The sequence below is a fragment of the Homo sapiens genome, chromosome 9, assembly GCF_000001405.40.
Source record: "Homo sapiens chromosome 9, GRCh38.p14 Primary Assembly".
NCBI lineage: Eukaryota > Metazoa > Chordata > Mammalia > Primates > Hominidae > Homo > Homo sapiens.
The window spans coordinates 37340903-37358461 of record NC_000009.12 but is presented as its reverse complement, the minus strand read 5'-3'; the positions used below and the strand labels follow the sequence as shown (position 1 = coordinate 37358461).

At 39.7% G+C, this 17559-nt stretch overlaps 1 protein-coding gene across 19 annotated transcripts in view; it reads right to left on the bottom strand.

Annotated features, from left to right (window-relative positions):
* Positions 1–312: 312 nt before the first annotated feature.
* The window catches only part of ZCCHC7 (zinc finger CCHC-type containing 7), a 237983-nt gene continuing 220736 nt past the window's right edge, over positions 313–17559 (bottom strand). For 14 of the 19 annotated variants that reach the window (NR_110317.1, XM_005251612.4, XM_024447691.2 and 11 more), the window contains 3 exons: positions 9010–9105; positions 3638–3752; positions 313–1627 (listed from right to left, as the gene is read on the bottom strand). Coding sequence is in view for 18 of the 19 variants with exons in the window: in XM_005251612.4 (XP_005251669.1) it covers positions 1194–1627; positions 3638–3752; positions 9010–9105 (645 nt within the window). In the remaining variant the exon portion in view is untranslated. The remainder of the gene's footprint in view (positions 1628–3637; positions 3753–9009; positions 9106–17559) is intronic. The other 5 variants (XM_011518050.3, XM_017015198.2, XM_047423958.1 and 2 more) reach the window with 1 other exon arrangement.

Genomic DNA, 17559 nt, shown 5'->3' with positions numbered 1-17559 from the left:
ATTTTATTCTGGCAGAGAGCTTGCACTTGGGCAAAAATGGCATTTTTGACTCCAGTCTACAGGGATTTTATAACTTTATCCACCTGCCCAACACAACTATGCCAAGGCCGGGAGTGATGGCTCATGCCTGTAATCCCAGCACTTTGGGAGGCCAAGGAAAGAGGATCACTTGAGCTCAGGAGTTTGAGACCTGCCTAGACAACACAGTGAGACCTTGTCTCTACAACAAACAAACAAACAAACAAAATAAACATTAACTATGCTCTTTGTCACTCAAACTCTCATTGTCTTTTTACATAATAAACACATGTATTTACTCTCAGATATTTTATTTTTCTTAGTCTGACATTAGGTTATGAGAAGTACAAAAGATCCACAAGTACAAAAAAATCTGTATAGCTTTGCGGTAGTTGAAAAAAATGCAAGAGAACAAAAAAATTTTTTGAGTAATATTCATCTCTGCAGATCTGAGTGACAGTCCGCTTGAAACACCGCTGTAAAAGTGGTAAAAAATGATTTCATTGTGATTATGTTAAAATTTTTGATGTCTCTTTTACTTGTTTAGGAAATCTGTCTTCTGACATTTATACTGGATAGTTCTTTTCCTGTATTTTGCTGAAGCTCAATTCCCTGCCTCTTCAGGGCTTCAATGATGACACTTTTGTTTTTATAGTCAGCTAGTGATGTTTTGTCCAAAGGAAGATTCTGACAACAGCTTCAGCAGAAAGAAAATCTGGATATAGGTTTATAGTTATTGTCCTTTCCAAAGTAAAAAAAAAAAAAAAAAAAGTTGAAAAATATTGATGACTTTTTCTTAGTGTTAATTTCTCTTCCTGCAAGGATTTAATTTGAGGATAAATTACCTTTGATGCAGTTTTTTTCCCAAAGTATTTTTAAAACACTTTCTTGAAAAGATGAATTCTTCTACCTATCCCTAGGATTCTGAGTAAAGATGACATATTGGAATAGGAGAAGTCCAGGTTTATCTTTGTACTTTCTTACCTAATATCCTGTTGGACACAGAGAATTGAGATCTCCATGGATATTCAGTAACTCTAGGAATGGCTGAAATTAAAAAAACAAAACCAAAAACTCACTTTATTTAATCATAGATAATAAACACAGTGCCAGAAGGTTATAGACACAAAGGCCAAATGAACAATGAAAAGCCACATCAGAGGCTGCCTGACGGCTTAAGACTTTTTTTTTCTCTGCTTAATAAGAAATAAGTTATCATTGTCATCATCTTCCCAGCACCTCTCCTTTTTCTTCTGCTTGCCCCTCTTGCCTTCCTTGGGAGACTTGTCTTCTCTTGACGTGTGGTAATGTGATGAACGGTGAAAGGGCTTAGAAGGCTTCTGGGTTTTAAAACTGCCAGGAGAAGAGTAGGTTTTGGGGCCCCTGGGAAAATCCTCATCCACTTCACGATGTCTGTCAGCCTTCCTGTGCTTCTCCCAGTTTCTATTCTTGTTCTTCATTTCTTTTTGTGTTTCTTTATTTTCTTGAGGCCACCTGTTGCTTTTCCATGAGGCACGGCCCTTCCTTATATCATGGTGGGGGTTCTCATTTGCTGCTTTTATATAAGGTAGCTTGGATGGCTCTGGGATAACCCCATTTTTCTTGAGTACTGAAAAATATAAAAGTATTTTTGCATATTCAGCAGCTAAACAGTCCATGCTGAGCTTTCCTAAGTGTAAATAACTTAACAGACAGGGAAGCTAGATATTTAAACATGTTAACAGTATGACATCACTCACTAAAAATTAAATAGTTGTAGCTCCAAGTTTCTGATTGCTAAAAATGAAACACATTCAGAAATCCAATGATAGTTAATTATCCTTTTCAACAGTTTAACAAGGTTAAGCAATGGAGATGAGGACCTGTAAGAACAGTAATCATCTTAGCTTTGTGAAGAAAAGTCATGTCTGACCAATACGAGTTTCCCCAATGATGACGAGTCAGCCTTTGAAAATGAGGCAAAGCAAGATTTATAAAATGGCCTTTTGATGGTCTCATATGACATTTCAACCACCCTCTAAAGATAAGGCCTGGCCATAGTACTTTTAGGTGGATGCCAAACTGCCCAAGAGATTATTCCTCCAGGGTAGAGATCACTGGCTTTGAGGAGTGTGTGTGAGTGCACGTGAGTGCGGGTATCTTAGAGGTTTTAGTGATAAAGCTGATGTTAATGTTTTGTCAGAGCTTGACACGCTTAATACGGATCTCTGATAGTGATTCTGATACGGGTAGGTGGGAGATGAGGTTACAGTGAGAGATGAAAACTAGCAGTCAATAGAATCTTTAAAGATTAAAAAAGTGGCCAATAAAAACTTTTAGCATAGACTTTTATTATAAAAATTTCAAAGGATCATAGTGAACACCTCAAAGTGGATTTATGCTACAGACGTCGATACAACTAGCTAAAAAAAAACCAAAATGGGTTTTCTCTAATTATAAGTTATAACTGCTCATTATAGAAAACCTGGAAAAAACAGAAAAGTACAAAGAACATAAAAAACAGAAAGCACATATAATCCTTTAATCTAGAGATGACATTTTCATGCAATTCTTTTTAATCTCTAATTTGGTTGCCTAATCATAATCTACAACTACTATAACTTCTCCACACAGCTGACCCTTGCACAATGAGTTTGAACTACGTGGGTCCACTTAAATGTGGATTTTTTCAACCAAATGAGGATTGAAAATACACCATTCCACAGATTAGAAACTTGTGTATACGAACGGCTACTTTTTCCTATAATCAGGTTCTGCAGAGTCAACTATGGGACATAAGTAAGTGCAGATTTTGGTAAATGAGGAGGCTCCTGGAACCAATATCCAGGGATAGCTGTAGATGACATACATTTTATATTAAATATGTAAAATATGCAGGAGCTGGGAGAGTAATAACTCTATTTTCCTCAGAATTAGTACCTTCATTTTGGAAAGGTCCTGAACTAAGAATCCAGAAGAGTAAAAGGCCAAAAGAGTCAGAAAATAAGGTATAGAACAAACTAAAAAAATACAGAACTGTTTTGTTTTTAAAGCAAGAAAGATAACTTGGAAAACCACCTTGAAGTGAATAACAAGAAAGAACAGAGGTAGAGAAAACTTAAATGATAAGATATTAATTTGGTGATAAAGAACAATGTTTGCAACAGTAAGTACAGAAACCACAGAGGTGGTTGTGAACTTGGAGCTCTGCTTGCAGCGGTGGCCTCTAACAAATGACTTCTTCAGGGAAGCTCCAGGAATAACTTAGCAGGAAAGCCTTTCTTTCCATAAAAAAATACTGGAGAAATACAAATGGAAAAAAAAATAATTACCTGTCAAACAGAAAAATCTCAAAGGAGCCTTTAAAAACTCTGCCTATATAGATGGACAGCAATATTTTCTGGACATTTCCTAAAATGATCACTGTAAAAAAATGTTTACTGTGAGGAGATTGCAACATGGGATTATTTCTGAAGTGGGTGCTTGGTTTCTGGAGATCAAGAAAGTTCCAGTCTCTTTGGTAATTACTAAAAATACTTTCTATGCTAACCAATGACCCCCAAAGCAGGCAAAGACAGTACAAACAAAGAAATTTAGAAACTACTGCAAATGTGATCTAACAAGAAGTCTAGCAACATACCTTTTATTTTTTGTTTTAGTCTCTTTTCTCTCTCCTGAATTTCATATTTGTCATCATAGTAGCAGATGAATGGAGATACTGGAGACGGGTCATACACTTCTCTTTCTGGACATTCCTATAAATTGTATGTAAAATTATGATGTCACATGGTCACACTGTTCAAAAACCTTTTTGCAAGATTCTGGAGCATGTTAATTAGAAATGAGCCCCATGTCACTGGTACCTCATGTGGTGGCTGTAGGATATGGTCCTTGCTGGGGTGTTGGGAGGGTCACCCAGCCCTAAACCCCACTGTGTTATGATATTCTTTCAAGCTTGAGTTTTCTTCCCTTACTTCTTTACCTATGAAACCCTTCGTATCTTTTTTCAGCCTTTTCTGCCTAACTCCTTTCACAGTCTGAGGTAGCAGCCTTGCCGCTCTGTTAGTGGGTTTATGTTATTCGGCCTCATGTTAGTATTACTCCTTTGCTTGTCCATCACTTCCAACAGCCTTCTATCAAGTTCTTTTCCATCTCTTCTTCCTATCCCCAAAATGTGGGTATAAGTTCTAAGCCCTTTGATCTTTTTTTCTAGAGACAAATGGTTTGCAAGCTTATTTTAACTCAACATTCACTGCTTATAGGGGTAGTGATTCTTAACGGTGGGGGGTAGGTTGGTGGTAGGTTATGCCTAGTTTAAAATTGTTCCTAGGTAATTGTGAGACACCCCAAAAGAAGTTTCTCTTCTTGCTTCCGCCACCCAAGTTGAAATCCCTACTCTTACTCATTTTCCCAGGACAGCTTCCTACTCTCATGACTCTGGCCTCTACCCAGCTAGTATTTCCCAAATCCATAGGCTTTGGCCTGAACCACTCACCACATAGCAGGCTTTTGTTTATCATGATCTGTGACACAGATCCATTCAGCATGTTTGAAATCTTTTCTTTTGGAACTTTCCCCTTTCTGCCTCTGCCATCTTGCCTAAAAGTTACTTTAAAATGTTGTTTCTTAGCTAAGTAATGAAAAACAATTAGAATATATTTTAAAGAGTAGGTGAAAAATCCACATAAAATTAAGCCAAGTCTGAACTAGCCAAGCTAGCAGCCAAACATTTATGTACTTAATTTGTAGAATTAAAAAATTATAAATCATTCTAAACACACAATTTATAAAAAAATAATTAAAAACCTATATTCACCCTCATATAAAACCATAACATTTTACCTTAGTTGCCTGTTTTTCCCCCAAGAATAAAGTATTACTGATATAGCTGAAATCCTCCATGTAAGTCCTTCCCATTTTGCACTCATCTCCTTCCCTTTCCAGAAGTTACCACTGTCATCAAGTTGAAGTCGGCCATTCTCATGTGTTTTTATACTCTTACTGATGAATATTCCAATGAACAGTGATGTAAGTTTTAAGTTTCAGACTTCATAATTTTTATTTGTTTTTTGTAGAGGCAAGGTCTCACTATGTTACCAAGGCTGGTCTCAAACTGGCAGCCTCAAGTGGTCCTTCCAACTTGGCATCCCAAAGTGTTGAGATGACAGGCATGAGCCACAGTGCCTGGCCTTATTCATTTTCTTTAATGGTATTGGTTCAGTTGATTTGTTCTTCTTGAGTCAGTCTGGTTAATTTATACATATATTTTAGAGTTATTTGCCTTTTCAGATTTAACTTTATGAAGTAGTCTTATAATTTAAAAACATTTATATAGTATCTTAAGTTACTCACACTTTCCACTCATTGTTTATTAGTACCTTTTTTCTTTCAGTAGTTTTTCCAGAAGTTTCTCTTTTGTTTGAAAAAAAGAGTTTTCAAATAATCAGCTTTTGGTTTTGTTGATGCTGTTCACTTTTCTATTTCAATAAGTTCGGTTCTAATCTTTATCATTTCCATCCTTCTGCTATCTTTAGATTTATCTGTTGTGACTACCTGGATTATTTAGATTGTTTTTTTGTCGGGGGGAGGGTCCTAGAGGTTATATGGCAAACTTACATGGTAACATAAAGAAACGCTTTTGGCAGGGCATGGTGGCTCATGCCTGTAATCCCAACACTTTGGGAGGCCGAGGCAGGTGGATCACCTGAGGTCAGGAGTTCGAGAACAGATGGCCAACATGGTGAAACCCCAGCTCTACTAAAAATACAAAAAAAAAAAAAAATAGCCAGGTGTGGTGGCACATGCCTGTAATCCCAGCTACTTGGGAGGCTGAAGTAGGAATAGCTTGAACCTAGGAGGTGGAGGTTGCAGTGAGCCAAGACTGCGCCACTGCACTCCAGCCTGGGCAACAAGGGCGAAACTCTGTCTCAAAAAAAAAAAAAAAAAAAAAAAAGAGCAAATTGTGATTATGCAAAGGTAACAGAGGTCTTGATACACTCAACTAATACTCATTTCAGCAGAATCTTTAACTCTCCCAGCCCGTGCTCCCCCTTTCACACACTCCTGGAGTAATCTTTGTACAGTGACTACTGTTGTCCTTGCTTCCCCAGCTAGAGAGTGAGTGAAATTAGGGAAGGGCAATGTCATATTCACCTTAGATCTAGTCTTTCACATGAGGAATCCATTCAATAATAGTATCTGTAAGGCTGGATTTCTGACATTGAAAGGGAAGGGGTCCACAGACATCTTTAACCACCTGCATAGTTCCCTATTTGGGTCTTGTATGGTCTAGACTGATGTGACTACACAGAGCTATATAATACTACAAATGTTTTCCAAAGCTAAATGTAAATTATATTTTGATTATCCACATCGCTGGTCCCCTCCATTAGCACAGACAATTGATAGTTGGCTATATAATTTATCTACTATTCTGGATTAGCCACACCAATGATCTTCTTCATTAGTGTAAATAATCTAGAGTTCCTCATCTATGGCAGTCATGAGGCTGCCAAATTTGCTTTATTGTAAATTAAAAATTATCTACATCTAGATTTTAGGGATAAATTCCACATGCTTTTAATATATTTCCTATCTGCCTTAACAGAAGTGACTAGTAAGCATCCAACTATAATTGTTTTTCTTTAATTGAACAAACATAAATGCTAAAATTATACCCCTCTGCTTTACAGAGGTAAGCAAGCAAAAATTGTACATCTATGTGATTTGTGTGGTAATGGAAAGCTTATGTGAATATGTTCCCTAAAAGACGTTGACAACATCTGAATGTTTAGTAATGAGGAATGGACAGAGCAGTAAAAGATCTAGAGATGATAATTCTGTAAAAGAAGTCTTCTTGGCTGGGCATGGTAGCTCACTTCTGTAATCTCAACACTTCGGGAGGCCAAGGAGGGAGGATTGCTTGAGGCCAGGAGTTTGAGACCAGCCTGGGCATCATAGTGAGACCATGTCTCTACAAAAAATAAACAAAATTAGCTGGGCACAGTGGTGTGTGCCTGTAATCCCAGCTACTCGAGAGGCTGAGGTGGGAGGATCACTTGAGCCTGGGAGGTCAAAGCTGCAGTGAGCTGAGATAGTGCCCACTGCACTCTGTACCGTGTCTCAAAAAAAGTCTTCACTACTTGGTGCTGAGAGATTTCCTGTACAACTTCTCTGCTTTGGAGATAAAGAAATGGGACCAAAGAGAAAAAATGGGTTGTTTACATCACATGGTTGAGTCAGTAGCAGAGCAAAAACTGCAACTGAGGCTCAGAGCCTCATCCTGGCTTTCATAAGTTATGTCTCACCCCCACGGTTGCTGCTGCCCCAATATGGAAGATAAACTTTATCTGTTTATGGATTCTGTTCAGCACTTTTCTTCGTTGCCCTACAATGTAGGTCTCCAGCTCCCAAGATCTACACCAGTGATGTGTCATAGTTGGAATTCAAGTGGTAACCTGCAATACCACTCACCCCATCCTATTGCTCATACTTCTCAGTCTGAGGACTCCCAACACTGCATGCTTTCTGCCTCCTGACACCAGATCTGGTTTGATATTAGTTTATCTTGGTTTCTAGGCTACTAGAAGCCTACCTGGAGACTGGGAATAATACATTCTTTTTTAAGAATTTTCTACTTTCTGTGCCACTGCCTTTCCTCCACTGCCTCAAGATTCCCAGAAGTATGGGCTCTGAGCCTATTCTTATTACATCCTTTCTCTGAAATGAGCTGCTGCTGCTTCATACTTAATGTGGCATCTGCCTAGTGGCCTCATGCCCAGCTCTCAGCAAGAAGCTTCTTCTGCTTTGACACCTCAGCATCTAGAACACACACAGTTTGGCCTTTTCAGCTGGGGTTAGGGAATATGTTGGCTGGATAGGGAATCTGGGCATTTGTGGGGTAGGTGAGCAAGTCAATGATGCAGCATCTGTTTTTTCACCACTGAATGCCAGGGTTTACATGTATGTGATGTAGACTTAACTGAACATTGTACCAGGGAAAACGGGAGAACTAAGTAGAAAATCTAAAATTGGGCCGGGCGCAGTGGCTCACGCCTGTAACCCCAACACTTTTGGAGGCCGAGGCGGGTGGATCATCTGAGGCCAGCAGTTCGAGACCAGCCTGGCTAACATGGTGGAACCTCATTTCTACTAAAAAAATACAAAAAATTAGCTGGGCATGGTGGCATGCGCCTATAATCCCAGCCACTCGGGAGGCTGAGGCAGAAGAATTGCTTGAACCCAGGAGGTGGAAGTTGCAGTGAGCTGAGATCGTGTCATTGCACTCCAGCTTGGGCAACAAGAGTGAAACTCCGTCTCAAAAAAAAAACCAAAAAAAAAAAAAACAAACCCCAAAACACAACAAAAATCTAAAATCGGCCAGGTGTGGTAGCTCACGCCTGTAATCCCAGAACTTTGGGAGGCCAAGGCAGGTGGATCACCTGAGGTCAGGAGTTCAAGACCAGCCTGACCAATATGGTAAAACCCCATCTCTACTAACAATACAAAAATTAGCTGGGTGTGGTGGCAGGCGCCTGTAATCCCAGCTACTTGGGAGGCTGAGGCAGAAGAATCGCTTGAACCCGGGAGAAGGAGGTTGCAGTGAGCTGAGATCGCACCACTGCACTCCAGCCTGGGAAACAGAGCAAGACTCCGTCTCAAAAAAAAAAGAAAATCTAAAATCATGCTATGGCGGTGTCAAAGCAATTGTGTTTGTAAGAACTCATGAGAACTGCTATCATACTGTTGACTATTATATTTGTTTGATTTTATGAACTATATTAGTTTTATCCCAACCTGTTCATGTACATGTAACATAATTAGAGGAATATGCTCTGATAGCTTGTTACTCTAGCAGGGAGGGGAGGGGTAAACCAGTTGAAAATATATTAAGTCTTACTTTAATGTTTATTAAAAAGTAAGTATTTAGAGTTACATTCTTTTTGAGTTCATCTTTCAGAAAACACTCCCTGACAACAGAATGCTTCATGCCCAAATGTCACTCAAACTTACGTGTCCATAATGGCCTTTTTGCGCGCAGTGATAGCAATATGCTAAGGCTGATGGTCTTGAAGGGGTCTTCGGCTTTTTGGGTGGTCCAGGTTTGGTCTGCAACATGAATATTTGTGAGGGTTTGTTGATGTTAGAAGAAAATTAAAACCTCATTCTTTCCAAAAGAGCTTTATAGGTAAGGGATTCCTTAGAAGTTTCTTAGAGTTTTGTATGGAGACCTGTATTCAGGCGATTCCATATATTAAAGTATATAACATGGTAAGAACAATTCTTTTACTCTTAATGTCAATGTGTGCTTCCCTCTCCTTCTTCCCTCCTCATTCAATTTGGCATTGTGCCAAGTACTGTGTTCGGTATCCAACACAGTATAATGGGCCAGCAGAACATGAGAGGCATATACATAATTACAAAACAATGTCAATACAGTGACAGTAGTATGTACAAGGCATTAATGGAGTGGTGAGGGGGACTCCCCCACCAGCGGATGGGGTTAAAGAAGGGTCAGAGAAAGTTTCCCTGCAGGTGTAAAACTTAAATTTACTCTCAAATTAGGTGTAAATCAAATGGAGAATCTTAGGCAGAGGGAACAGAATGAACAGTGACATGGAACTAAAAAAGAGCATACATGCTGCCAAAATATGACATACATAGCCGGGTGTAAATGGAAGACAAGGTGGAAAAAGCAGGGCACAAGAATGGAGGGCCTTGTAAGTCAAGTAAAGGAGCATGAGCTTTATCCAGTTTTAAGTGTCGAAGTTAGGATAGTTGTAGTTTGGGCCAGGTGTGGTGGCTCACACCTGTACTCCCAGCACTTTGGGAAGCTGAGGTGGGCGGATCACGAGGTCAGGAGTTCAAGACCAGCCTGGCCAGCATGGTGAAACCTCGTCTCTACTAAAAATACAAAAATTAGCTGGGCATGGTGGTGTGTGCCTGTAGTCCCAGCTACTTCAGAGGCTGAGGCAGGAGAATCGCTTGAACCTGGGAGTCGGAGGTTGCAGTGAGCCAAGATCGCACCAATGCACTCCAGCCTGAGCGACAAAAGCGAGACTCCATGTCAAAAAAGAAAGAAAGAAAGAAAGAAAGAAAGAAAGAAAGAAAGAAAGAACGAACTGGTATCACTTGGTCATTGAAAAGACGTGGGGAATGAGGGAAAGGAAAAATCAGGATGCCTCCAGATTTTGAACATGGGTGAACAAGGATTGATTCAGAAAAAGTAGAAAAAGAAAGAGGAGCAAGTTTAGAGGCAAAGTTGATGAAGACTGTCTTGGATATGGAGTATCTAGGTAAGGATCTCCAGGAGGCAGTTTCTATGTAGAGACAGAAGAGTCTGAGCTGAAGAGTAGATCTGAAAGTAATCAGCATAAGAGTGAAGGCTGAAATCACTAGAGTGGACAGGATCACCATGGACAGTGTAAGAGTGGCTGTGGGCTGAGGAAGGAACCCTGAAGACATCAATGTTTAAGGGGTGGGCAGAGGAGCCTGTGAAATGGACATAGAAGGGAAGGTTAAAGGATGCAGAGACATAGGAGAATACAGTAACAGACTTTAGAGTTGTTTCAAGAAGGATGAACTGATCTACAATGTTAAATATAGCAGAGAGGCCTAGTGAGATTAGGACTGAGAAACATCCACTTGAAGTGGCAACTGCTCACAGATAACCTTACTGTGAAAATTCTGAGATATTCTAGAAAGAGTACAAGGCAGCAGGATGAACAGTAAAGTAATGCATACAAAGGTGGTAAAACTACAAAAAGAGCAAAGAAATCATTACTCATAAAAGCCAGGATCTGTGAACTTAACCCGGATTTTTTTTTTCTTTAAAGCCAGGTTACTTCCAGTGAGGAGAAACAGCACACAGGATATTGGCATAGCTGAAATTTTCTGTTACTTCAACATGGCGATAGTTAACTTGTGTGTGTATTACATAACTAATTTATTCTTTTGCACATGTATTTTACATACTTTTCAGTATGTATATTAGGTTGGTGCAAAGGTAACTGTAATTGCAGTTTCTGCCATTTAATAGCAAGAACCTCAATTACCTTTGCACTAACCTATTATTTCAGAACAAAAAATGTTTTAAAAAATTGAATGGAAGTTGTAGGAGAGAGAAGTTATATATTGAGAAGCATGAAGCGGCAGAATAAGATGAAGCAGTACCCAGGAAGGGGATTTGGTGGAATCTGTTTATAGAATGGGAAAGACTTGAACATCTGGGAAAGATAATGGAGATGGAGAAGTTGAAACCAGAGGAGGAAAGGAGATGATGGACACAGACCTCTGAGGAGGTGGTGGCTGTAAACAGGGGGAGAAAAACCTAACCCCTGCACACCCCCACGCTTTGTGGAGACTGGAAGAAAAGTTAAGGATCGGCTTAAACGTGGATCACTTTATTTCTTATGTTGTTTATTGAAAGTCTTTAACAAACAGTGCTAGTCTGCCAACTAATTTTTTTTTTGGACAGGGTCTTCCCCTGTTGCCCAAGGTGGAGTACAGAGGCACAATCATGGCTCACTGCAGCCTCGACCTCCCAGGCTCAGGCGATCCTCCCAGTTCAGCCTCCCAGGTAGCTGAGACCACAGGAGTGCACCACTACGCCTGGCTACTTTAATTTTTATATTATTGTTTTTTAAATTTTTGGTAGAGACAGGGACTCACTATGTTGCCCAGACTGGTCTGGAACTCCTGGGGTCAAGTGATCCTTTCACCTTGGCCTCCTAAAGTGCTGAGACTGCAGGCATGAGCCACCATGGCCAGCCCTAATTTTGTTTTTTCTTTGAGACAGCGTCTCGCTTTGTCGCTCAGGCTGGAGTGCAGCAGCACAATCTCAGCTCACCACAACACCACCTCCTGGGCTCAAGCAATCCTTGGGTTTCAGCCTCCTGAGTAGCTGGGACCATAGGTGCTTGCCACCATGCCCAGCTATTTTTTCTATTTTTAGTAGAGATGGGGTTTTGCCATGTTGCCTAGGCTGGTCTCAAACTCCTGGGCTCAGGTGAATTGCTTGCCTTCGCCTCCCAAAGTACTGAGATTACAGCCAACGTGCCCAGGCCCCCTAATTTTGTTTTTAATGTTGCAAACAGGTGTTTTGTAAAGGTCTTATTTCCTTGATATAGGAAAATAATAAATAGGTTATAAAAATCTTCTTCAGGTCAGGCACAGTGGCTCATGCCTATAATCCCTGTACTTTGGGAGGCCAAGGTGGGTGGATCACCTGACGTCAGGAGTTTGAGACCATCCTGACCAACATAGAGAAGCCTCATTTCTACTAAAAATACAAAAATTAGCTAGGCGTGGTGGTGCATGCCTGTAATCCCAGCTACTCAGGAGGCTGAGGCAGGAGAATCACTTGAACCTGGGAGGCGGAGGTTGCAGTGAGCAGAGATCGTGCCATTGCACTCTAGCCTGGGCAACAAGAGCGAAACTCTGTCGCAAAAAACAAAACCCAAACGCAAACCCAAACCAAACCAAACCAAACCAAACCAAAACAAAAAAAACTACTTCAAACAACTTTACTTTCAGCTCTTATTCCCTAAAATGAAAAACTGTAGCAAAACAATAACCTCAATAATCTTTCCTACTGAAAGCTACACAAAATGGAATTTACAACCTCAGGTATTATCAATTGAGATATAATAAAAATAACAACCGTTTTATATTCTGCAATTAAAAATGGGGTTCATAAATTAAGACTAGCTAAAAGTCATTAAACAAGAGTTTTTTTTTTTTTTTTGAGATGGAGTCTTGCTCTGTCACTCAGGCTGCAGCACAGTGGCACGATCTCGGCTCACTGCAACCTCGGCCTCCTGGGTTCAAGTTGTCCTCCTGCCTCAGCCTTCAGAGTAGCTGGGATTACAGGCACATGCCAGCACGCCTGGCTAATTTTTGTATTTTTAGTAGAGATGAGGTTTTGCCATGTTGGTCAGGTTGATCCTGACTTCAAGTGATCCGCCTGCCTCAGCCTCCCCAAATGCTGGGATTACAGGCATGAGCCACCACACCCAGCCTAAACAGAGTTTTAACAGGTACGCATGTAAGCCATGTATCCCTTATTGCAGTGGTTCACAAATTTCTTCAGATAGAACACTGTGAAGACATGAAATTATTAAGCAGAAATGATTTTCCACCCACAAAGACAGCTATATTATTTGACGTGACATCAAATTGCAGCCACAAGCATACATGGCTTAAGAGAAATAAAAACAAAAGAGATGATGTCATAGATATGAAGGCAGAATGGATGTTTCAAGGAAGAAACTGTTAAAAGCTACTGATGGGTTATATAAGATGAAGACTATGAAATCCACTGGACTTAGCAAATAGGAAGTTGTTGGCAAGTGGAGAAACTATTGTGAGTAGTTTCTTTCGAGGGGTAGAGGTACAAGCCAGATTGTAATGGATTTATTATAAGTAGAAAGCTGCTGAAGAACAGAACATAGGTCACTTTTCCTAGAAACTAGGCTGTGTATGCAAGAAGGGAAGGGGACAAGTAGAGCAGAATACAAGTCGAAGGATGCCTCCATCAGGGAGATTTACCAGAGTGCTGGGCCCATGGCATGAGTGTATGCATGCATTCCTTCATTAATTTGTTCAAAAAATAATTATTGAGGGCCTAATACATGCCAGATATTGTTCTAAGATCAGGTAACTGAGAAGTGAGCAAGATAAAAGTCATTGCTCACATCTCCAGTGGTGGAAGATAAATAGAGCCAATAATACACAAACATACAAAATATTAGCGAAAAATAGTATGCAAACAATTAAAATAGTTATATGAATGAGAATCACTAGTGATGACTTAGATTGACTTTTTGGGGGAAGCCTCAACTAGGAAGGTCCTTTCTCATAACAAGAAAAGCCATGTATGTGATGTCTGGGAAACACCACTCTTGGCGTAAGGCATGGGGAACGAGTAGTACCGAGTCCTATGGTAGGAACAAACTTACCAAATTTGAGGATTTGAAAAAAATACCTGTAAATTTGGAAGTGGAGTAGGTGAAGGAAGAGTGAAAGAGGAGGCTCTAGAGGACAGGGAGGGACCAGATCACTTAGGGCTTTATAAATTAGGGTGAAGAATATCGGATTTGTTTTAAGTGGCATGGGATGCCCATGATGGGTTTGAAGCTAATGGTAGGTGATCAATAACTAGTTGGTAGCTGTCAGCAGGGATTGTGATGATAAAAAGGATCATCCACTCTCCAAATAATAAATGCTCTCTGAAAAGGTCTATGTTCACAAATATTTCTATTTATGTTTGTTTGTGCAAATATAAGACATAACTTATCTTTTAATTTAAGGTTTTTAGGAGATGGGGGTCTTGCTATGCTGCTGAGGCTGGTCTCGAACTCCTGGGCTCAAGCAATCCTCCTGACTTGGCCTCCAAAAGCACTAGGATTACAGAACTGAACCACTGTGCCCAGCTGGTTTTACATTTTTTAATGGCTAAAATAATAATAATCACCACAGAATAGTTTGCAACACATGAAAATTATGTGAAATTCAAATTGCAGTGTCTATAAAGTTTTATTGGAACACAGGCACACATATTAGTTTACAAATTTTCTATGGTTGATTTCATACTATAAGGATAGAGTTATAACAGAGACCATATGGCCTGCCAGGCTAAAATATTTACTACCTGGCTCTTTATAGAAAAAGTTTGCTGACCCCTGACCTAGAACATAGGAAGTGCTCAACAAACAAATAGGTGGTGAATGAGTAGGTATTAAGGACTTCAACAGAGAGTGGAAATAAGTTATGCACCAATAAAGGTGGTGAAAGTAGATACAAACACTGAAAATCTCTGCTACTAATTGAGTGCCTGAGAAAAAGTTTCATGGAATTTTTCCGAATTTAGTTACTTTATTGCCTAAATTTGAGGAAATAACAGGTAGTTCTCATGATTTATCCCTTAGTAGGAATTTTTCATTCAAAAGTTATTGAGTTCCTACTTTGTACAACACATTGTAATAGACACTGCGAGGAATACGGAGATAATAGATGAAAGAGCAAATATAGTAAAGATTTTAAAGATGAAAGCACTAGGGAGGCTGAGGCCTACAAAATGGAATTAAGTGTGCATCAAATACATATTTTCTACTAAAAAACTGCATCAGCACAATTTCTTCTGAGATGCTGTTAGGCCAGAGCCTGAAAGAACAAATCATATGTCTTGCTGCTATAGAATGAATCCTAAATGAGTTATTTAGATTTTAAAGAATGAAATATTTTACAATCAGTAACATGCACATGGCACACAATTCAAAAGACACTAAGAGGTGTGGTGAGAAGTCTGTCTCCCACTTCTGTTCTCACTCAGTTCCCCTTTCCTCAACGGCAATTACTGTTACGAGATTCTCGTGTTCACAGAGACAGTACAGGCATATACAAGTGTATGGCTATGCGCATGTACTATATATGTACACACACATAATACAAAGATTATGTTTGGCTTATTCAAAGAAAAAGCATGGAAGAAAAGTATTTTAACGACTGGGGGCAATCAAGGGCAAAATTGGCAAACTCTTCCTAAGACCCAGATGCTCTGATAAAATTTATTTATCCAATGCATTTTGGGATTATGTTCTAATGTGGGCTCCACTATTTACTGACTATGTGACCTTAGTCAAGTTATTTACATGGTCTTTCCTTCATTTTACTCATCTGTAAAACGGGAATAATAACAGTAAGAGTGCTCCCTCATTAACACTGCTGTGAGGCATAAATGAAACATACTCATCTTACATAACAACCTATCAGTAAAACCTGACCAGGTGATCACTTCCTCTTGCAACAGATTCTTCACTTAGCTTCCCAGACAACACGCTCTCCTAGTTTTCTTCCACCTCATAGGCTATTTCTTCTGCAGTCTCCTTTGTTGGCTTCTATCCATCTCTCTGTCCAATTACACTGCAGTGCCCCAGGGCTCAGTCCTTAGACTGCTTTTCTTCTCTATTGAATCTGCTCTCATCTAATAGTATAGATTTACATTAACCTTTTCGCTTGCCATTCTAAAATTCTATCTTCAGCCTTGATCTCTGTTAACTCTACACTCACGTATCTCTACTAGAATGTCGAACAGGCACCTCAAATTTAGTTAGTTAAAATCAAATCCTGTTCTTCCCCCACCCCAAATATGTTCCTCCCAAAATCTTTCCCATCTCATCGGCAACTTTGTCCTTCCAGTTTCTTAGGCCAAAAACGAACAACCTTAACTTGTCTCTTGCTTATACCTCATACCCAGCCCATCAGCAAAGCTTGTTGGCTCTGCAAATACATCCACCTCTTTCCACTCTACCAGTACTGTCCTGGTCCAATTACTCAACTCTCGTTTGGATGATTACAAGAACATCATAACTGGTCTCTCCGCTTCTATCCCTGCCCTCTACAACATACTCTAAACCAAAGATGATCCTTATAGCCTGCAAATCAGAACATACCACTCTTCAGCTCAAAACTCTCTAACAGCTTCTCATCTCAGAGAAAAAGCCAAAAACTTTACAATGGCCTGTAATTTGCATCCTCCCACCTCTCTAACCTCATCTCCTACTACTTTCCCTCACAGCAAGCCTGTCATGCTGGCCTTTTCACTGTTCTCTGAATACCCCAGACAAACTTCCACCTCAGCGCTTTGCACCAGCTACTTGATCTGCCTGCATCACTCTTCTCCCAGATTTAATATAGTGCACTCCTTCACTTCCTTCAAGCCTTGGCTCAAATGTCATCTCAGTAAGGCCTTCCTGAGCACCCTATTTAAAATGGCTAGCTCCCTCCAATCTGTACTCCCTATCCTGCTGTACTGCCATTTTATTTTAAAAAGACCAACCAACCAACCAACCAACCAAACAAAACTCAACATGGCACTTATCATATCTGACATACTATATAGTTTACTACCTATCCACTCCCAACCCCATCCCCAGGCTAGGAGAAAGTAAGTTCTGTGAGGGCAGGGATTTTTGTCTGTTTTTGTTCACTGCTGTACTTCAGCTCCTGGAATAGGGCCAGGCATATAGTAGTAGTTCAGTAAATATTAATGAATGAATAATGAGGTAATGCATAAGTAAAGCACATGGCCTACAGTAATCATCCAATATGATTTAGCTCTTGTTAATAAAAACTTGCATACTTTGGGAAACTATTAATTTTTTATGTCATTAAGGGAAAACCTATCAAATCATGCTTAAATATATTAAAAAGCTTGAATAAATTAATAATACAGCTTCCTTATTGTCTCCCCTACTTCACACTGAGAATGTGGTATATACTCTGACAAAATCAGGAAGGAATTAGTAATGCCAAGTGAACAGGAACTCAGTCTTACAGTACCAGGGACAAAGAGATCCTTCTTAATCGAGATTTTGAAAGCATGTTTCATGTTGACACTTCTTATTTTATTTTAAAGGAATCTCAAATTTAGCCCCTGAAAGAAATGTAAACATGTGGATGTTCATTCATCTGAATAATGTCAGTAGTTAAAAACTTCCATTATTACTAATAAAAATAGCAACAGTATATTGTGCTATGAAATTCTAAACTGTTTCACAATAA